General features: G+C 36.0%; 1 long non-coding RNA gene across 1 annotated transcript in view; it reads left to right on the forward strand.

Annotated features, from left to right (window-relative positions):
* Positions 1-16,220, forward strand: part of LOC105370476 (uncharacterized) — a 166,495-nt gene extending 150,275 nt beyond the window's left edge. Inside the window, exons 3-5 of the long non-coding RNA XR_943820.3 lie at positions 14,370-14,468; positions 14,899-14,956; positions 15,343-16,220. This is a non-coding gene — a long non-coding RNA (uncharacterized LOC105370476). The remainder of the gene's footprint in view (positions 1-14,369; positions 14,469-14,898; positions 14,957-15,342) is intronic.
* The last annotated feature ends 6,932 nt before the right edge of the window (positions 16,221-23,152 follow it).

Genomic DNA, 23,152 nt, shown 5'->3' on the forward strand with positions numbered 1-23,152 from the left:
CTTTTCATGCAGTGTGGTGCTGCTGGGAGATGTAGAAAAAGTGGTATAGTTAATGCAAGATTAATGCAAGACTTTCCTTCCTAACCTCTTCAGTGCCTCTTTCCTTGATATAATGTTAAAACCAGGCAATGTGATAACTCATCTGATTTTTGGTTCTTATGAAGGTGTTGTGTGGATGTTTGTTCAATATGGTGTTCCTGTTGGGGGACAGCTGTTGGAGGGTTCTATTCAGCCATCTTGCTTCACCCCCCCAGCTAAAAAAAATTAAGTAAGATATCTTCTTTCCACACTGGAAACATGGTCTGGTGTATGTCAGTGGCTGTTAGTCTTTTAAATCCAAAATGTTTAAAAAATACTCAACTGTTTATGTTTGGAAAAACTGCTGCTTTGTGCAGTAGCTTGAGTATGTGCCATAAAAATTTGATCTCTAGTGCTACTATACCTATAAGATGTTATGGCGGCATTGCAATTATAATAGTTCTGTTGATATCATAATTGCTCTGAAGAGCCATTACAATGTAAATATGCAAGTGCTTCTGACAAGCTGTGCTGTTAAATTAAGCTACCTCAAACAAACTAAATATAATAGTGTGGATATAACAAGCTGCTGAAGAAGTGGTGTTGAAGACACTGCCTTCCTTCTTTGCTAAATGAGTAGGGAATAAGGAAGCAAATTGTTTGTATTTTAGTTTAAGAATTAAAGTAGAACCACAAACCTACAAGGGCCTAAATAGTCATTTAGCTCATCCCTTTTACTTTTGAGAAAAGAGGAAGAGGCACAGGTAGGTTAAATAACTTACTTGAGGTTTCACAGCTAATGGCCTAACCAGAACTAGAATTTGAGGCTTGACTTCTGTTCAGAATTTCTTTCACTAGATAATTCCCATTCAGCAACAAAGTGACTTCAAGTAAATATAGTTGTTCTAAAATACATGTTGTTTCTCCATTTTGGGGAAAGTCTTATTCCCTGTCCTCTTATAAAATCTTAATCATTTTATCAGTCTGTTTTTACTCTGCTGTAAAGAAATACCTCAAACTAGGTAATTTATTAAAAAAAAGAAGTTTAATTGGCTCAGGATTCTGCAGACTGTACAGGAAGCATGGCTAGTGAGGCTACAGGAAACTTACAATCATGGTGGAAGGTGAAGAGGAAGGGGGCATGTCTTACATGGTAAGAGCAAGAGGAGGAAAGAGTGGGGAGAGTGGGGAGAGGTGCCACACACTTTTGAACAACCAGATCTTGTGAGAACTCACTATCATGAGAACAGCAAGGGGGAAATCTGCCCCCATCATCAAACCACCTCCCACCAGGCCCCTCCTCCAACATTGGGGATTCAGTTTGACATGAGATTTGGGTTAGGACACAAATCCAAACCATATCAATCACCATGTACCTTGTTCTTCAAATGAGGGTGAAATGTTAACTAGTTTTTTGTTTCACTGGCAAAACTAACCCAAATTAACAGTAGAATGCTCTTCTCATATAAATAAAAAGATTTTGGTGGGATAGAAGAAAATGCCTTCTGAAACAGTATTGGACTATCCCTTTTCCAGGAGGGTAATCAGGTGACTGCCTGGGAACATGTTCTTTCTGGCCATTGTAGGATAGGGACAAGGAAAGCTTGGGGCAGTGGATTAGTGAGGTCAGCAGAGGCCTGCTAGCCTGGATATTTAACTAATCATGGTATTTGGGAGTGGCCTGCTTGTTGGTCCTAGATCAACTGCATAATGAAAGAACTAAAGAGTTTGAAATGTTAAATTTTATTTTGTAGAGCATTACACATTTTAGTGAAACATTTCCATTGGAAACTGTTGATATAGGCTTCATTTCTCATGTTTCCTTTCCATAAAATTAAGTGTGGGTAAGAGTAAGCAACTCCAGGAGAAGGCAGAACATCTTAATTTAGTGATTTATTAATTAAATATATATATTTTGAAAGGGGGTCGTGCTTTGTTTCCCAGGCTGGAGTGCAGTGGCATGATTGCAGCTCACTGCAGCCTCAAACTCCTGGCTCAAGCATTCCTCCAGTGTCAGCCTTCTAGGTAGCTGGGATTACAGGCAATTTGGTGATTCTTCATTAGTGATTTTAACTAGTGATTCCTTAGAGATAGCTGTTAAGCAACCATTGACAATTATTTGAAAAGTTACGGTTATGTGTACTTTGTAGGAGAATCCTGGAGCACCTTGAGAGGGCAAAACCACAGCTGGCTTCCTTCACAAAGTGGCACTTGAGCTAACCTCAAACTGAGAAAGTAGTAGGAAATAAAGAGGCACAGAACAGAGGAAGACCTTTCCAGCAAAGGGCAAAGATCTCAAAGTATAAAGGAATATGGCTTATTTAAGAAACAGAAAAGGTTATTATAGCTGGGAAGCAGAAAAAAGAACAGGAATGGCCAGAAAAGAGGCTCATGAGAGTGATCATCAGATGATGCTTAGTAATCAGATATTTAATAAACTATAGATGTATATGTATTTGAGGCAGTTTGATTTTTAAAGAATATAGTGGAATGACATTTTAAATTAAAGGTTTTGTACTTCTAAATATTTCACTGAAGAGAGATTAACTGAGAGAATATTAGGAAAGAATATATTGATGTGTGAAGTTAATAATAGGCTTGATAAATTAGTTAATTAGTTGATATTTTATGAATGAGTATATTTCAAAATCAAGAAAGATCAATTATTTTATTTACAAGCAAATGTAACACATGCCTAACTTATAATGGAGTGCATTAAATAATGAAACAGATTGATTTTAGTTATCACCGTCCTTTCCCCAAGATGAGACATACTTGATTTTTTCTTTTCTAATAATTCATTATTATTGAATTAGCTTTGTTTATTCATTCAACATTTTCCTCATTTTTCTTACTCTTGGTTGATTATATTCTGAAAGATTGCAACTTGTCAGTTTGAAAATAATTTTAAAAGTTATTTAACTCTAAATTGGTTGATTCATGTCTCAAACTTCAGAGTAGTTTGCCATAGGTGCTGCTGGGAAATATATACTAACTGGCTATTGAAGTAATGATAGGAGATGATCAAGCAACCAAAGGGAGTAAAACTTGTGACTGAAACTTTTAAATACAATTTTCTGATGAAAAGTCAGCCATTAAAAATAGTTTAGCTCTATTTTTAATGACATAAATTTACTAATGCATTTTATTTGCAAACTTAATAATATTAAATAAAAATCCCTGTATTGCCCAGCCTTAAATAGTAATAATATGGTTACTTTTAACTGGTTTTTATTATACTCTTTTTTGAAAAACTGGTAGTCATATGATAACACATCCCATTACCAGTGTAGGAGTCAAATTGAATATTTGTTATTTTTTATACTTCCCAGATAAATTTATTATTTAGGTATTCACATGTTTCTAATATGGGGTCATGTCTCAAACAGGTGCAGATGCAGATGGACTTTGTAGTGAGCATCAATCGACGGCCAGGTGCTGTATTGGGCACTACAGCACAGTCAGGAGCTTATCAAGACAGGAATGATATTTATGCTCATGAGACTTACAGTCTGGGTGGAGAGAAAGACATTTTAACTAATTATTTAAAATACAGTATCAAGTTTACAAGAACACATGAAGAAAGGGAACTAGCTTTATTTGGTGTGGTCCTGAGCGGGTGAGGGCACCCAGAAAAATCTTTCTTCTGTAAACTACATTTAAGCAGAAAGCTGCAGATAATTACAAAAGAAAAATGGGCTAAGTGGGAGGAGCCCTTGAGGAAAGGCCTTGAAGTGGAGGGAAGTGGGATCAGGTCAAGGGACTAAAAATTCTAGGCAGAGGCCAGTGAGTGAGAGCCACCAAAAGTCAAGTATTGCCACCTTCACCACTCTACCTGCAGAGATTCTTTCTCTTCAGATATTAAATTTGTTGTTAAGATTTTTTTAGGTTCTTTTTACTTAACAGATTGAGAAAAATAAAAAAAAATGTTATTTTCACTGCCTTTTCTTCTCTTATGCCAAACATTGAAGATCATGAAAATTTGCTTGCTTCCAAAGAATCATGAAAAACTGGGATTTAAATTGGACTGTTTCACAAGAATGAAATGTAAAAAGCTTTCCAGGAAAAGATGAAAATAGAAGAAATTATACAAGGAGGAGTGGGAATTATCTTTTTTGTATTTTTTTTAACTGAAGTCAGGGAAGACATCACAAAATATGAACCAGGATTTTCAAAGCTTGAACATTTAGGTATAGATTCTAATTTGCCCACAGACTTAAATTTGCAGAAAAAACAGGCAGGCTAAATGGTGTTTGTCTCAGGCCAAATCTGCCACATTGTACCTACAGAGTCTAGTCTACTTTTGGGCAGGACTATTTTAAAATATGTCAGAAAGTAGAATATGTTCTTTTTTAAAAAACTGAAAAACATTTCATGCTGTATAAACTTCAATTTATTGTCAAAGAATTGTGATTAAATTTCCATTATGCTTCCTGCTGTATTACTTTTACAAACTGCTTCTCACAGGCTAGGCAGAGACAGAGGCAATATAGCTTACAAGTTAGAAAAAGACTCTGACCATAGATTGCTGGGGGTCCTATCCTGGCTCCTCCAATTACTGGCTGTGTGCCCTTGGACAAGCTTCTTGAATCCTTTTTGTTTAAAAGGGATAAATATTATACCTACTTCATGGAGTCAGTGATGAGGATTAAATGAGATAATATGTAATGCATAGAGGAGTGCCTGGCATATAGTAAGCAAAAAGTAAACATTAACTGCAAAAAGACCTTAGACTTCCTGTGTCTGCTCAGGTGCATGCACTAGTACAGTGTAAGTCTGGTACAATAAACCAGGGAGGAGAAAGAGGTCTCTCTTACAGCCTTGAGAGGTGACATAAATTTAATAGTGGTCAGATGAAAGGCTGGTAGTGCTGCTATTGTTTTATTTTCTGTAGAAACTATAGTTAATGGCCCCCCACCTTAAAATATTTTATGAAATAAAAACATTCAGATTATGCCTTGCTAATTTTACAAACTCAAGTTCAGTGAATCAGGGAATGTGAAGCTTTGTTCAGGATTGATATGTAGAGGAGGCTTATACTTGTTCCTGTCTTACTACAGGATATGAGTGTTGATCCCACAAGAGGCTGTGATTTCTTTGAATTTAGGCTTAGATAAAATAACAAAAGGTGAGATTTGTTGATCCTACCTATACTCAATCCCTCATCTTTCTCATTTCCTTTTTAAAAAATCTCTAAAATATTTAAAAATAAAACCATGATATACTAGTTATCATCTGCTCCCTATTTACTGTCCTCCTTTTATTCCTTCTTCAAACCTTTCCTGTTGTCCTTGCTCCTCGACTGCCTTCTTAGATCCTATACTTTCTCATCATCTTAATCTGTGTCCTCCTTTCTCTGAATCCTGCCTATCTTTTCTTCATATTGAAGAGAGAAATGGGAAATGTTAGCTTGGGCCAGAAGTAAGGAGAGAGAAGGAAAAGAGCAAAATGTAGCAAAAAGGGAGAGGTGGTCCTAAGAGACACATTAAATATATCTGGCTTATGCACTGAATCCTCAACTCCGGCTTTTGCTGTGCATTTCTTGGACATAAACATGTTTAATCTTCTATTTGTTTGAGATGATTTGTGTATTATAATTCACTATTTCTAATTAGGCTGATTTTTGTTTCTCTCTTTTTTTTCTTTTTCTTTTCATCAAGAACATAGAAGAAAAGGGACAGAATGAGATCAGAAAAAAAGGAGGTAAAATCTCTGGAAGAGCCTCTCCCCTGTTTGTCTTTATTTTATAATTTTATATTTATTTAGCTGATAAATTACTGTTGCACTCCCAGAGTTCAGATTTGCTCCATCACAGGACCATTTATTTTTCATGTAGGGAGACCATTTACCTGACCTGCTTCCCCTGGTTCGCAGTGGTCCTAGTGAGCTGCTGTCTGACTCTGGCTGTTTAGACCTTTGCCACCACACCCCATCCCAGCCTGGCAGTGAAGATCCATCTCACGATGCTCTGACTCAATGTCTGGCATCCTCCTGAGCGGCAGGCCCGCAGCTCACTTCACTGAACCTTTTTGTGCTAAGACCTCTCCTGAGCCCTGTTGAAAAATGTCAGACAAATTCATGGACTATGTGTATTAGCATGTTATCAGAGAGGACTAAAATCTAAGTTACCATGCTCGCCTGTTGCTAAGCAGTGTCCTCAAGGCGGCCTTAAGCCCCTACTGGGTCTCAGAGGAAGAGCAGTTCATAGAAAGTTTTCACATCCTGGTAGCCACACAGGTAGCTCTCTATGGGCACTAACTTCCTCTGCCAGTCTTTGTTTTTGCTTTCCGCTCTATCTATCAGGAACACCTTTCTTGTCCTGGTCTAATTGTCAGTACCTAGCCTACACATCTTTCCTGACACTGTGCTGGGTCAGTTATACGTGATTTATGTGGCAGAGAACCATGCACACTCTTCTATCACAGGGCTTTAAACATTTGGGTCTGATTTTGTACAGACTGAACTGTCTACTCCTATGTTCCCACCATTCTTGAAACTCCTTCAGAGAAGGCCCATGCTCTCTTTATTTTGAATTACTAGCACTTTGCACATCACTTGGAACCTTGTAGGTAATCAACCCAGTATTAACATGTTGCAAGAACATGCTGTCTATGGTGGGAAGACTAGTAGAGAAAATTTTGGGGCAGGTGACAGAGGTTTTGAGGGGAGGCAAAGAACCACGTGTGGACTATGTAGTAGTATCCCAGATGGTGTTGTTGAAGATGCTGTTTCCAGGATCTGTTCCTAAGCTCAGATAATTATTCTTTGAAGGCATTATTTTGTACATATCTGCAATTAAATAACCTGAATGATCGTGTCTTTATTTTTATATGTGTGGCATAAGAGACAATGTGATTGATTTCCTGAGAATAGGCATTTTTAATCTTACATTTCTATTTTTTAAAATTTCTTCGCTGAAATATCAATTTTGGGTTAAACAGTTTTGGCTTTTATGTGTAAGCTAATATATCTTCTCAAAGTTTCAATCTTGACTTTTCATCATTTTCTCTCATTATTTTAGCTTGCTTGTAGCATTGTGGGTGAAGAAGGTCCATGTAGAGAGGTCATTTCTTTGTCCTCTTGCCCCAGGTGGGACAGCTGTGTCATCCAGACAGTTGGCCAGAATCTTGTAGAGGGACATGATGAAAGCTTGTCAATCTGTTCGTCAGTCTGTGTTTTGAAGCAAATGACTAGTTTAGAAATCCTTATAGTAAAAGTCAGTTCAAATACTAACCCCTTGTTGCTTTATCTCAGTTCTATACTGCACAGAAATGATTTTAAACACTGGCGATTATAAATTGGTGCAAGAAAGAAAATGTAATCACTTATAATGTACATTCTAAATGGTGTGCACATGTATGTTACTATTTCTCTTTGAAATATTATAGTTTCTCCCATTCAGTCCAAGTAGGAAAATAAACTAGGAATAAACAGATCTATGGATTCTCTCTACCATATATTATATAGATATTTGAGGCACATGGTTGATTAAAAATGCTACTAACAATATCTATATTGTTTTGAGAAAAAGTAAACCAAAAATAAAAAATAACTTATACCAGTATTGCATGTTAAGAAAAATTAAGATCTAACATATCCACTCACCTAGTTTCTAATATTCATCTTGTCTGTAGTTTGATCTTGGATAAGAGTCACTTTTTCAATGTTAAATCCAGACAACTCTTTGCTCTTTGCATCTTTAAAATGTTTTATCAAGCATATGTTAGTAACATTTCTGTTAATTGTCTCTGAATATACTGAAAAACTTATGTGAACGTAGAATTGTTACTTAAGTAGGATTGGAGGCCTGCAGAGCAGATTGTAAATTTTGCAATTGCATTTTAGAGCCGGCTCAACCTAGCTTATAATTATTTTCTTGGCTTTTATTCATGTAATGGACATGGGTGGTTTCTGTGAGCACCAGATTGAAATGAATATTGAAGTTTGTATTTCTTTACTTGAGAAGAGTGACTTTTCCAGTTAGGCCCAAAACACAGCCCTCCTTATGGACAAAAATAATCAGAACATTCTTCAAAAAGTATATTTCAGCCCTTCATCATATTAACAATGGAATGAAGGTTGAGAACTGCTCCCTAAAAAAGTGATTCTTAGGGTTTTGATGTGAATTTTTCACATATAGAAATATGGCATAATTGCTTTTCCATCCTCCTCCCCTCCTCTGTCCTATATTCCTCCTTTCTTTCCCTGCGTTTGGTGAGGTTAAGCAACTCTGATGAAAATGTAAAAAGTAAAATTTAAACTTTATTTTCCTTAGTTTACATTAATTTATTTTCTAAGTAACTGTATGGTATATAAATTCCAGTGTAAGAACCAATTTGTATCCCATAAAATCAGTGTGATTTGTACACATACTTCCAACATACATATTTAAAATGTTTATTTATTTATTTTTTAAAAAGACTATTTTTAGAGGAGTTTTAAGTTCACATCAACATTGAGGAGAAAGCACAGAGAGTTCCTACATACCTCTGCCTCCACGCTTGCACAATCCCCTTCACTATCAACATCTCACACCAGAATAAATTATCACCCAAAATCCATTGTTTACATTGGTTCACTCTTGATGTTGTAATTCTATAGGTTGTTTTTTTTTTTTTTTTTTTTTTTTTTTGAGATGAAGTCTCACTCTGTCGCCCAGGCTGGAGTGCAATGGCATGATCTTGGCTCGCTGCAGCCTCCACCTCCCAGGTTCAAGCAATTTTCCTGCTTCAGCCTCCCGAGTAGCTGGGACTACAGGCAAGTGCTGCCAAGCCTGGCTAATTTTTGTATTTTTAGTAGAGATAGGGCCCATGTTGGCCAGGATGGTCTTGATCTCCTGACCTCATGATCTGCCCGCCTTGGCCTCCCAAAGTGCTGGAATTACAGGTGTGAGCCACCGTATAGGTTTTGACAAATGTATAATGACATGCATTCAGCATTATAATGTCATATTAGAATAATTTCACTGCTCTGCAAATCCCCTGAAATATTTATTTTTAATAAGTCTTTAGTATTCCATGGTGTGTGTGTGTTAGCCATAACCCTGTTCTTTGACATGGATCATTTTCAACATTTAAAAAAATTTATAACTTTAAAAAAAATGTTGAAAATGATCCATATGTCAAAGAATAGGGATGTAGCTAACACTCATTGGAGAAGTTGATTTTTTCTTTGTTTTTGGATAATATCTTTAAGTCACAGTGTGCAAAGAAGAATTGGATTGGTGCATAGAAGAAATGTTATAATACTTGTTTCTTTCATCCAATAAGCAATTGCTGAACACCATCTGTGCCTAGTCACTAAGGTTATAGATGTAAATGAAGTATAATTCTTGCTTGCAGTTCTTAGTATGATTAATGAGGGTAGGGGAATATACATGTAAGATAGAAAACAAATACTTGATGCAAAATGCCAAGTGCCATAACAGATGTGAAAAATATCTGTTCTTTTGGTTCCTAGAGGAGGTGTGATAGCAAAGAAATATAACATAGTAAAATAAAAGACAAAAAAAATGTAAGACAAAGGAAAATGTCTTTTCAGGTGGGTCTTGTGGTGGTTAATTTTCTGTGTCAATTTAACTGGACTAAGGGATGCCCAGATAGGTGGTAAAATATTATTGCTGGGTGTGTCTGTGAAGGTGTTTCTAGAAGAGATTAGCGTTTGAATCAGTAGATGAAGTAAAGGTCACCCTCAGCAACGTGGGTGGGTATCATCTAATCTACTGAGGCCCCAGATAGAACAAAAAAGTGGAGGAAGAGTAAATTTGTTCTCTTTCTTCTGGAGATGAGACATCCATTTTCTCCTACTCTTGGACATCAGAACGCCAGGTTCTCAGGTCTTCAGACTCTTGGACTTGACAACAGTGACCCATCAGTTTCTCGTGGCCTTGGACTGAGAGTTATATCGTTGGCTTTCCTGGTTCTCAGGCCTTTGGACTTGGAATCAGACTAAATTATACCATCTTCTTCCCTGGTTCTCCAGTTTGCAGACAGCATATTGTGGGACTTCTTGGCTTCCATAGTTGCATGAGCAAATTTCTTTAATAACTTTCCTCCTATATATCTCTATTTATCTTATTGGTTCTGTTTCTCTGGACAACCCTGACATACATGGAGGAACAGTGAAAAGTTTGGGAACTGTGGGGAATGAGACTGGATTCATAGGCTGTGAGAGATCCTGTGTCATTAAAGAAACTTGAGCTTTAGCCTGTGGACAATAGAGGGTCAGCAGGGTTTACCAGAACTCCTTGTGACAATCTGGGGGCAAACAGGCAAATGGTGTGAATGACAACAGCAAATACTATGTAACCCAGTGGTTCTCAAACTTTGATGTGATTCAGAGTCACTTGGAGAGCTAATCCAGACATAAAAATGAGGCTTACTGAGGTAGAATAGGGCACATACCTCTGGATTTTGCCAAGTCAATTTCCAGGTAATTCTAATAGATGACAAGGTTTGAGAACCACTAATGCATATGTGACAGCCATTGTATGACTCACTTTCGGCAGCAAAGAAACTTCATTTCACACAAAATTAGAACAAGACAATTTAAGTATTTAACAAAGTCACTAAAATAACACCAAAGTAGAATACCATTTATAACTTCATGCATCCTGCTTTCCCCAACTCTCTTTTTATGTACTTAAATGAGTTGTAATATAGACTCTCTATGCATTGATTTCTTTACTTTTACCTTCCTCATGGCCTTGTTATAGTGAGTAAAAAGTTAATATACATAAATTTTTAGAATTGTATCTGGCACATAGTAAGGTTTAAAATATCTCAAATTTGTTTCCTCTAAACTCCTACCCTCCCTGCTCTTTCTCCCACTAGTTTTCTTAGCTCTTGAATTTTTCATGGTTCATCTCTCACTTTCTTAACTGATTCTCGTTTTTGTTTTGTTTTCCTGCCAGCTGCTATATGTGCTATATGTTCTCAGCATAAATCTTACAAGCCCCTCTGGCCTCTCTTAGGCTTCTAGATTTGATAGTTAGCCCGCTTTAACACCACAAAAGGCTTAAGACTTTTTCCCTTAAAATGGAGATTCTAAGAAGATTTTTGTTGTTGTTTGTGTGGTTTTTTTTCTTTTCTTTTTTTTTTTTTTTTTTGAGATAGGGTCTCACTCTGTCACCCAGGCTGGCTGGAGTACATACAGTGGTTCAATCACAGCTCATTGCAACCTCAAATTCCCGGGTTCAAGTAATCCTCCCATCTTACCTACTGAGTAACTAGGAATACATGTGTGTGCCATCACGTCTGGCTAATTTTTAAATTGTTTTTGTGGAGATGGGGGTCTCACCAGCCCAGGCTGGTCTTGAACTCCTGGCTTCAAGGGATCTTCCTGCCTCAGCTTTCCAAAGTGCTGGGATAAAGGCATAAGCCGCCAACACCTGGCCCAAAGAAGGTTTTAATTGAATCATTTTTCTTTTGACTAAAATTATATCAAAAGAATCTTTGATAATAAATACTTCACTCAATTAGATTCCTTTATCTGATAGAGTTTCTGACGGCTCACATACTCCATGGTGGTCCTTAAAGCCCTACTCCCATCATGTAGTTCAATTTTAATGTCTCTTTGACATGAACCCATGCCCATGTTGACACTGTTTGGTCAATAATGATGATGATAATAATTATAACTATTAATATTTATTGCATGCATATTATATGTAAAACAATAAGACTTTTACATGCATTAAACATGCAGAAAACACCACACTGTCCTAACCCCCTTTTAAATATTATTTATTTAATCCTTACAACTGTTCAGTGACATAGGTCCTACTGTGACCCAGTTTGGGAAAGAAGTCAGGTAACTTACAAGCTTACCCAGCAAGTGAGCAAAGGACCTGAGTCTAGATCTGAGCTCCCACCCAACCAATGCTGACTGCCTCTCACACTTCCTATAACTATCCTGCTTTCTGCTAAGTGTATTCATAATAATTGAAAGTATAGTATGTTTCATATAATTCTCAAACCACCCTATTCAGTAGGTATATTGTCATCCCTATTTTATAGGTGAGGAAAAATGAGTCTTGGAGAGACTGATTTGACCAGCTTTGTAAAACTAGTAAGTGGCAGAACCCACATTAAAACACAGGTATTAATAATATGATCTTAGCTCCTGGTATATTTAACAGTATGATAAATGAATCTCTTCCTTTTCTTCAGAGCTAAACTTCTCAAATCATTTCAGCTCCATCTGCTTTACTGGATTCTCAGCCTCTGCATCTCTCCTGAATGTTGACATTTCCTCAGACACGTGTCCGAAGCTCCCTTCTATGACTTCAGTAGCTATCTATGTAGCTATTCTTCCTCTACAGCTCTACCCACATCTTGCTCTTGTGCTCAGACCCATATACCATATACATCTACATTTCACTGGGCTATTTGCACCTCACATACAGGATGTCCCACATAAAATCATCTCCCCAAAAACCTGCTGCAGCTTCAGTTTACCTCTATCTCAGTGATTCATACCACTTTCCTCACAGTTGCCTAATCCAGAAGTTGGGGGATCATCTTTAAGACTTTGTTCTCTTTTATCACCCAAATCCACTTGTTATAAACCTCAAATTTATACTTCCAAATCCACCTAATGTTCTCCATTTCTGCTCTACTATCTTGTGCCACCACCGTCTCTTGACTGAGTTACTGTAATAGCCTTCTAACTAGCATCCTAACTCTAATCTTGTCCCAATCTATTTATTTATTAATACCAACAGAGACTTTTAATATATGAAAAAATAATTATCAAATAATCAAATAACTTATGGTTTATAGGGCCCACCATCATGATGCTGTCACTGACCTTTTCTTATCACTCACCACTTTCCCACCCCATATTCTATATTTCAGCAATACTGAGTTGCCTTCAGTTCCTGGAAGTCATTGCATCCTCTTTCTTTGGAAAAGATAACATATTGTTCTCCTTGCCTCAAAATACTCTTTTCCCTATTCATCTCTCCTCACCTTTCACCTTGCTAAATTATCCTTATCCTTTAGAGCTCTGCTTAGAAAACCCTTCTCCTGCAAGATTATGCTTGACACCCTGAACAATTGTGGGTATTTTTCTATGTATTTTCTGCCAGATGTTCCTAGGTATGCTTCCCAAGAGTCCCCAACATAATTACATGTCGCCTCTATTTCTTCTGTAGACTGAATGTCTGTATTGCCCCCAAATTCATGTGTTGAAACCAAATCTCCATTGTGATGGTATTAGTAGGTGGGGACTTTGGGAAATAACTAAGTAATAAGGTACAGCCCTCAATATGGGATTGGTGCTCTTACAAAAGGAACTTCAGAGAGCTTTATTGTTCCTCCACTATGTGAGGACACAAGAAGAATACAGCCTTCTATGACACTGGATTGATGTTTGGCCCTCACCAGACACTTGATCTGCCAGCAACTTTAAACTTGGACTTCCTAGCCTCTGGAACTCTGAGAAATAAATTTCTGTTGTTTATGATCTATCTAGCCCAAAGAGACAAAAGCATGTGTATTGATGTCTTTTCAACAGTTTTAGAAAAATTTTTAGAAAATTCTTGGTCATTGTCTTTTCAAATATTAATTCTACTCCATTGTCTTTGTTCTCTGCTCATGGTCCTACAATTAATTATAATGTATATTATAACTTGTTACAATGCCTTCTCTCTTATCCTCTCTTCTATATTTTTCATGCTTTTCCTCTCTCCTTCATTATGTTCAAGATATTCCAGTATATCTTCCAGTTAACTAATTCTCATTTCACCAGTGTCTGTTTTGTTTTAAAATGCATCCTCTATGTTCTTAATTTTAATTGTATTTCTCAGTGTTAAAATTGCTATTTAGTTTTGCTTCATAACTATGTCATTTTTATAGTTTCTCATTCTTTGCTTAAAAGTGAATCTTTTATTTATTTGATAAGCATAGTTATTTTAAAATCTATGCCTGGTAATTCTCATATCTATAGCCTTGGTGGCTTTGTTTTTATGGTCTGCCAATTCTATTCATTCTTGTTTATGTTGTCTTGGTATTTTCATTTGCCATTTTTTATTGTTTGTCAGACATCATATTGAAAAAACCCTTTGCAAAAAATTTAAGTCCTATCATGATGTTATTTTTCTTTAGAGATGACTGGTTCATTCTGCCAAAGCATGTGGGTACAGTAGCAATTTGGATATTTAGTAATTGTTTTTCTTGGGGCCATGCATAGAAATGAAAGTTGGACTGCAGTCTGTGCAAGGTTTATGTTACTTCTGATTCACTCTAATTTTCTTTTTCTTTCTTTCTTTCTTTTTTTTTTTTTTTTGGATCACTGAAACAAACATATTGGGGCTCCATCCCATTGTGGATTCTGGCTTCTAACTCCAGGTTTTCAAAAGTACTGCTTCCCTTCTCATCCATCTCTTCTGGAATTGGCAAATGCCCTCAGGGGTCAAGCAACCACCAATAACGGGTTTACTTTTCTGGGTATGTCTGTCATATATCATGGCTATAATTCTTCACTACAATGTTAGCTCTCTTATGCATTCATGTAGATAGTTTTAATGCATTTTATATTTTGAAGCTCTTCTAATTGACCTAAGAGAGTTGATCTGAACTCACTCATTTATCATTTCTGAATGTGGAAGTTCAATTTTGCTTTCTTTTATTTTCTACTTAAGTATGTTTTTAATAGTAAGATGATTCTTAAAGAAGTGTAGAGGATAGACTGGAGGAGGGGAAGAACATATAGTTAACACCAAATGGTTTCCAAAGCAGATATACCCATTGGCACTTCCACTAGCATTAAATGAAAGTTACAGTTCTTCCTTGCGTATTTCTTTAACCTTGTTTGCCTGGCTAAGAATCCCTGAAAACTATCTTGTGTGTAAAACAATGGATTCTGTCTTCGTTATAGGAGCTGAACTTCTGATGTGTGGATGGGAGGGGAGATGGCATATGGCCTGGTGAAATAGGTAAGTAGCTTTTTTGGCGGGGGTTCATGCAGGCTTCTGGCTTACATTAAGAGCTATAAAAATATTGCCTGGTTTTCTGGCACCAGTGCCTACTCAAAATGTATCATCGGAACTTATCTTCAGAACTTATTTAGAATATTATCCTGGGGATAAATGCTAGTATTACCCTCAAATATTCTGTTCTTCAATAATTACCTGGTAGGACCCCATGGCCCTCTCCTGTCTTCAGCTCCCCAGCCCATGTCTGTATCCTTCTCACAATTTCTATGGTTGGCTGGGAAAACGACCTCAATTGGAAGTTCCCTCTTGTCAGTTGTGTGTAGTCATGGGTTTTTAGTCATTGGATTTGCCCATTAATTTATTCTCATTTGTTATATATTTTCCAGGAATTCTTCATTGTTTTTTCTAGCATTCATTTGGTTACTTCCAGTGTTTTAAAATAAAATATTTGTCACAAACAAATGAAAAAACATTCCATGCTCATGGATGGGAAGAATCAATATCGTGAAAATGGCCATACTGCCCAAAGTAATTTATAGATTCAATGCTATTCCCATCAAGCTACCACTGACTTTCTTCACAGAATTAGAAAAAACTACTTTAAATTTCATATGGAATCAAAAAAGAGCCTGTATAACCAGGGCAATCCTAAGCAAAAAGAACAAAGTTGGAGGCATCACGCTACCTGACTTCAAACTATACTACAAGGTTACAGTAACCAAAACAACATGTTACTAGTACCAAAACAGACATATAGACCAATGGAACAGAACAGAGTCCTCAGAAATAACACCATGCATCTATAGCCATCTGATCTTTGACAAAACTGACAAAAACAAGCAATGGGGAAAGGATTCCCTATTTAATAAATGATGTCGGGAAAACTGGCTAGCCATATGCAGAAAGCTGAAACTGGACCCCTTCTTTACACCTTATACAAAAATTGACTCAACATGGATTAAAGACTTAAACATAAGACCTAAAACCATGAAAACCCTGGAAGAAAGCCTAGGCAATACCATTCAGGATACAGGCATGGGCAAAGACTTCATGACTAAAACACCAAAAGCAATTGCAACAAAAGCCAAAACTGACAAATGGGATCTAATTAAATGAAAGAGCTTCTGCACAGCAAAAGAAACTATCATCAGAGTGAACAGGCAACCTACAGAATGGGAGAAAATTTTTGTAATTTATCCATCTGACAAAGGTCTAATATCCAGAATCTACAGAGAACTTAAACAAATGTACAAGAAAAAACAAACAACCCCATCAAAAAGTGGGGCAAAGGATAAGAACAGACACTTATCAGAAGAAGACATTTATGCAGCCAACAAACATATGAAATAAAGCTCATCATCACTGCTCATTAGAGAAATGCAAATCAAAATTGCAATGAGATACCGTCTCACGCCAGTTAGAATGGCTATCATTAAAAAGCCAGGAAACAACAGATGCTGGAGAGGATGTTGAGAAATAGAAGTGCTTTTACACTGTTGATGGGAGTGTAAATTAGTTCAACCATTGTGGAAGACAGTGTGGCGATTCCTCAAGGATCTAGAACCAGAAATACCATTTGACCCAGCAATCCCATTACTGGGTATATACCCAAAGGGTTATAAATCATTCTACTATAAAGACATACACACACATAAGTTTATTGCAGCACTATTCACAATAGCAGACTTGGAACCAATCCAAATGCCCATCAGTGATACACTGGATAAAGAAAATGTGGCACATATACACCATGGAATACTATGCAGCCATAAAAATGATGAGTTCATGTCCTTTGCAGGGACATGGATGAAGCTGGAAACCATCATTCTCAGCAAACTAACACAGGAACAGAAAACCAAACACTGCATGTTCTCACTCATAAGTAGGAGTTGAACAATGAGAACACATGGACGCAGGGAGGGGAACGTCACACACGGGGGCCTGTTGGGGGGTGGGGGGCTAGGGGAGGGATAGTATTAGGAGAAATACCTAATGTAGATGACAGTTTGATGGCTGCAGCAAACCACCATGGCACATGAATACCTGTGTAACAAACCTGCACGTTCTGCACGTGTATCCCAGAACTTAAAGTATATATATATACTAAAGTATATATATATATACTAACAAATGTATATATATATATATTTGTTAATAGTCTTTCATTTTTAGGGAGAGGAGGTAAATTTTGTATACTTAGAAATCTTGATATAGAAATGCTCCATAAATTTTTAAAGTAATTATCATTGATATATTTCAAAATGGCTATTTTTGTAACTTCTGCTATTTATGCTGTCACCAAGCAAATAATGCACACCCCCAAGAGAATCTAAAAATAATAATTGCTTGTATGTACATTTCCAGTCCCCTGTCTGTTCTTCATTGTTTTATCTTGATAGTCTTAAATTTATCTGAAATTAAATGTTCAAATTTTATGTTAGTGAAGCTATGTTATTTAATAAATGTTTAATTAAATAATGTTTACCTTAGTTTTCCTCATTTTCAAATCTGTTTATCTTTTATTAATATTTTTCATCTTCTAACTCCCATGCTTTATTATTTTGACTATTACGTCTGTAAGAATCGTTCCAGGTTTTGAAATATTCTTCTACTTTTGAAGAGAAAACTCTGTTGCTTTTTACTCTCTTTGTAGTATCAATTCTATCCTTTTTACATTTTTATAAATTTTTTTTCAAGCTTTTAAAATTATAGTCTGAGGGAAAAGGAAAAACCCTTATTTTCTTATTATCTTATTATCTCTAATTATCTCTAATTTAAGTATTGATTCTTTTCCTTTTAGATTGCACTGGTAATGTGGTATCTAATTACTTTTTTTTTTTCAATTTAGAGACAAGGTTTCACCATGTCACCCAGGCTGGCGTCAAACTTCTGGACTCAAGCAATTTGCCCCCCTTGGTCTCCCAAAGTGCTGGGATTACAGGCGTGAGCTACTGCACCTGGCCAGCCTAGAATTTTAATTTGGGGGAAGGGTCCCAAGATCTGTGAGGATCTTGAGATGCAGAGATAACTTGTGCTCTTGGTGGAGTGATAAAGGAATTTAGTTCAGATGGTGAGAATAATAGGTAGTAATAGAAAAAGAATGCTTCAGAGGGAAACTAAATATGGGTTGGTTCAACATCCTCCTGTTAGAAGTGAAGATATTTTTAGGCTTAGCAAGGTTGAGAGACTTGTTCAAGGTTGAATAACTTATTCAAGGAAACTAAATTGATGACAGACTTAAAATGAGATACCATGTCTTTTGCATCCTAGAGTAATTTTTGTACATTTAAAACTACGCTTCTGCACAAAGTTTTAGTAGCAAGCATATCAAAGCATTTTTGTAACTGGTTTCTTGGCACCACTATTATCTGCTGCTGTAATTAGATTCCATTTCTTCTCCACTTGTCTTGAGCAGTCTGTACCTTTCCCTCATGTCCTTTGAAGTTTCTGCAAATAGTTAAAAACAATTTATTTTTTACTTAAACTAAGAGAGAAAGAGAGAGAAGGAAAATGAGCACCCATAAATGTTTAACTGTGTCCTTATTTAAAAAATTTTTAAAATATTTTTTAGGGCAAGGTAAATTTTTATCATCAATGTGTTAATATTTAGTTTTCTTAACCTCGAATTCTGTAAAATATTATATATATTTTATGATGAATTTCATTTTACTTATACTATAATTTGATGATTTAAAAATTTCCTATATTACAAATGGTGGCAGTATAAATGATTTTGTAAAAAAGTGGTTTTTAAAAACTTCTTCCTAGATGTAAAAGAAAAAAAATACCCCAAACCAAAAATAACCTTAATGTTATTGTGAATTTTTAATCTTCTGGTATGACTTACTTTATTCGGAAGTAACTTCTCATTAACGTTATTATTTCAATCTTATATGGGGATGCTTTTATTTTAGAAGAATTTGTTGTCTAGTTGGGTGAGTTATTTTTAAATATTTATTTTAGGTTTGGGGGTACATGTAAAGGTTTATTACATAGACAAACACGTTTCACAGAGGTTTTTTTTGTACATATTACATTACCCAGGTATTAAGCTCAGTACCCAGTAGTTACCTTTTCTGCTCCTCTCCCTCCTCCCATCCTCCCCTCTCAAGTAGACCCCAGTGTCTGTTGTTTCTTTCTTTGTGTTCATAAGTTCTTATCATTTAACTTCTACTTATATGTGAAAACATGCAGTATTTCATTTTCTGTTCCTGTGTTAGTTTGCTAAGGATGATGGCCCCCAGTTCCATCCATGTACCTGCAGGGATCATGCAAAAGACATGATCTTGTTCTTTTTTTTGGCTGCATAATATTCCATGGTATATATGTACTACATTTTCTTTATCCAGTCTGTCATTGATGGGCATTTAGGTTGATTCCATGTATTTGCTATTGTAAAGAGTGCTGCAATGAACATTCACATGCATGTGTCTTTATGGTAGAATGTTTTATATTCCTCTGGGTATATACCCAGTAATGGGGTTGCTAGGTTGAATGGTAGTTCAACTTTTAGCTCTTTGAGGAATCACCATACTGCTTTCCACAATGACTGAACTAATTTAAACTCCCAAAAACAGTGTATAAGGGCTCCCCTTTCTCTGCAGCCTTGCCAGCATCTGGTTTTTTTTTTTTTTTTTTGACTTTTTAATAATGGCCATTTTGGCTGGTGTGAGATGGTATCTCATTGTGATTTTGATTTGTGCTTCTCTAAGGGTCAGTGATATTGAGCTTTTTTCCATATGTCTTATGGCAACATGTATGTCTTTTTTTGAGATGTGTCTGTTCATGTCCTTTGCCCACTTTTTAATGGGGGTAGTTTGTTTTTCCTTTGTAAATTTAAGTTCTTTATAGATGCTAGATATTAGACCTTAGTCAGATGCATAGTACATTTTCTCCCATTCTGTAGTTTGTCTGTTTACTCTGCTGATAGGCTTTTTTTTTTTTTTTTTTTTTTGCTGTGCAGAAGTTCTTAAGTTTAATTAGATCCCATTGTCAATTTTTGCTTTTGTTGCAATTGCTTTTGGTGTCTTTGTCATGAAATCTTTGCTTTTTCCTATGTCCAGAATAGTACGGACAAATGAGTTCTAAAATAATTGTAGAAATATACACAATTTGTGTTCCTCTTAAACTTCTACATAGTATTTTTTAAAAAATAAGATTAATTTGAATATAAAAAAACAACCAATTAAGAGTATTCATTTATTGATGAAGGAAAAAACACTAACTTAATCTAATTGTATTAAGTACCATTACTTACCATCCTGGGATATGTGGGCATACAGAAAAGATATATGTAAGGCATAGATACAAGGATAAAAAAGTGACACACACACACTCACTAATGCACAAATACTGACATTTTCTGGCCTTCTCATTCATCAAGTCATAGCCTCATTGGCCTGTAAAATTTATAGTCATACTGGATTTTATACAGTTACTTTAAAACACTATATTATAATACAAATTCATGCCTTTTCCTGTAATGTTCCCTCTGTCTAGAACATCACTCCCCCTTTTCTCTCCTGATTTACCTACTTGATTGCTTACCTAGCTGTAAAGATTCAGTTGAAGGGTCACTTCCTTTATTGCAGTCCTTCCTAGTAACTCCTTCCCTTAATGCACCATTAAAAATAGTCCCTTTCTCTGTGATCCTTCTGTACTGTATACATACACCTTTTGTTAGAGCTGGGACCATTTGATTGCTCTAAAGATCTGCAACAGCAAAAAAGGAGTTGTGTGTCTGTGATCATTTATGGACTTCATTATGTATTAGGTAATTTTCTATATAGAAAAACACTTATTTGCCAAAATCTGTAGGGAAGAATATAAAATATTAACTGATCAACTGCCCCCCACAGTGGACCTTTGTTTTCTTCATTGTGAACTACTTGAGAAGAGGGAGTATGTCTCATTCATTTTTTAATTTTTTTCTCCTTAGAAAGGTATCTTATATATAGAGGAATTCAACAGATGTTTGCTGAATGAATGCATGAGCACTCAGAGATTGTGGTATATAGTGTAATTTTGTTGATTTCCTTGCTTAATGTGCTGTGTATTTCCCATTTGCCCCTCCAGGTCTATTCTCTGCCCTTACCTACTCTTCTGTCTGCCCTGGGGGCCTGACTTTTAAGGCTTACGTTAATGGGCTCTCTTGTCCTCTGGCTCCTGGTTGAGGTTTATCAATGGGGAATCCTGGAAGGAGATTGGAGAGAGGGAGGGTTTATTTCTGGCTCTTTTCTTGTGAGGTCACTTCAGGTTAGTTGTACTCCTCATTGAAGATCTTTGCTCCCCTCAAGGTAGTTTCTCTACAGGATTCCTTCCTTCTTGGATATAGTAACTACTCCCTTCCCTCATCCCTTTGGTCAACGCTTCTAAGTTACTATACTACACCATCTTTTGTGGTTTCTCTACACCTTAGTTATACCTTTGTAATTAGTCCCTTTAAAAAAATTTTTTTTTGAATTACCCTAGTTTGAATGTCCCATTTGTTTCTTTTTAGGATACTAACTGGTAAATCCAGCAATGATTCTGCCTTTTTTCTTTTATGAAATTCCTTTTTTACTTTCAAGAACAGACTGCCACCATGTGTAATTTATGGGGCTGATCCCATCCCACTACTCCAGGGATTGACACATGAATCAGACTCTGCCAGAGTATCCATAGCCCTAGATTGAGTTATTGGTTTATGGGTGGGCTCAGGATCAGAATCTTTCCTCCCCCTTGCTATTTTTGCTAGAATTACTGGAAAGGAGGCACTCTCTCCTGAAATAAGTAAGCCTGGATTGTCTGGAAGCCATCTTTGCCTTCATGCAGACAAAGTGTTCATAAAAATGAAGCCAATGTAAAGGAATACTAGAAGAGGAAGAAGACTTAGGTCAGTTTGAGTTCAGTCTCTGCACTTTGTAGCTGAAAGAATCTCAGTCAATAAATATTATCATTGCCATCCTCAAACTATTGTTGTGTGTTAGAAACTGGGCAAGGGAAAATGACTGTATCTGAAGGATGTGTTGTGCTAACTTATGACAAAAAGTCTAAAGAACAGAGGTCATTTTGTTTCTGCATATGTCTACATAACTATTAACTTGTGATTGTCAAAATATAAACAATAATGATTCTAATTCTGAATGCTTGTAAGTTTATCTGTATTAGGAAACTCATCTGTGTAAAATTTTCTTAATACCTTATGGACTCAATCTTTACCACTAGTCTTATATATTTTGGTTTTCCAGATAGTGTTCTATTTTTCCACCTGGAAAATATACGTAAGCTTTGTCTTTTCATTCCTCTATAGGCCATTATTTTTCAGTAAAGATAGATGGGTTTAGACTTAGTTTGAAAGAATCCATCATATTGACTTCACTTGTGATCTACGTTTTATTTTCACTTAAATCTCCAGAGCAGGAAACCTACCAGTTGCACTAACTCTTCTGTTAGTGAGAATTCTGGATGGCGCAGACAGCAAATTGCCAAATGCAAATAAAATATGCTGTTGAAAATGTTCTGTTTCTGGCTGCACCTCAGAATAATTCAAACTTGCTTGTTTCCTCAAGCAGGAGTTTAAAGTAAGTAGTTTAAAGGAAGTATTTGCTTAGACTTCAGCCAATTAAATATGCTGAGTCTTAGAATTCAAAAGTCATGGTTGTATTTTTATTCAAATGAGCCTAAACATTCAAACCATGTTTCTCTTTTCATAGGAAATAGAAAACAAAACATTGTGTTTATTTTTAAGGTTTTAGAATGAAGATGTTGTTTCTTGATCTATTTAGAAGCTAATAAAAGAGTTACAAACTTAAGTTTGTTAGTGTCAAGTTATTATTTCGGAAACTTTTTTTAAGTTTTTAAATTATTTTTAATTTATGTGGGTACATAGTTGGTATATATATTTATGGGGTAAATGAGATATTTTGATATGGGCATACAGTGCATAATAATAATAACAGGATAACTGGGATTATCCTGTTATAATAATAATAACAGGATAACTGGGATATCTGTTATCCCAGGAATTTATCATTTCTTTTATGAACATTCCAATTATACTCCTTTAGTTATTTAAAAATGTGTAATAAATTATTGTTGACTGTAGTCACCCTATTTTGTTGACTGTAGGTATCCTGTTATGCTAACAAATACTAGATGTTATTCATTCTATCTAACTATATTTTTGTACCCATTAACTATCCCCACTTCCTTCTT

This window comes from Homo sapiens, chromosome 14 (assembly GCF_000001405.40).
Source record: "Homo sapiens chromosome 14, GRCh38.p14 Primary Assembly".
In the NCBI taxonomy this organism is placed as follows: domain Eukaryota; kingdom Metazoa; phylum Chordata; class Mammalia; order Primates; family Hominidae; genus Homo; species Homo sapiens.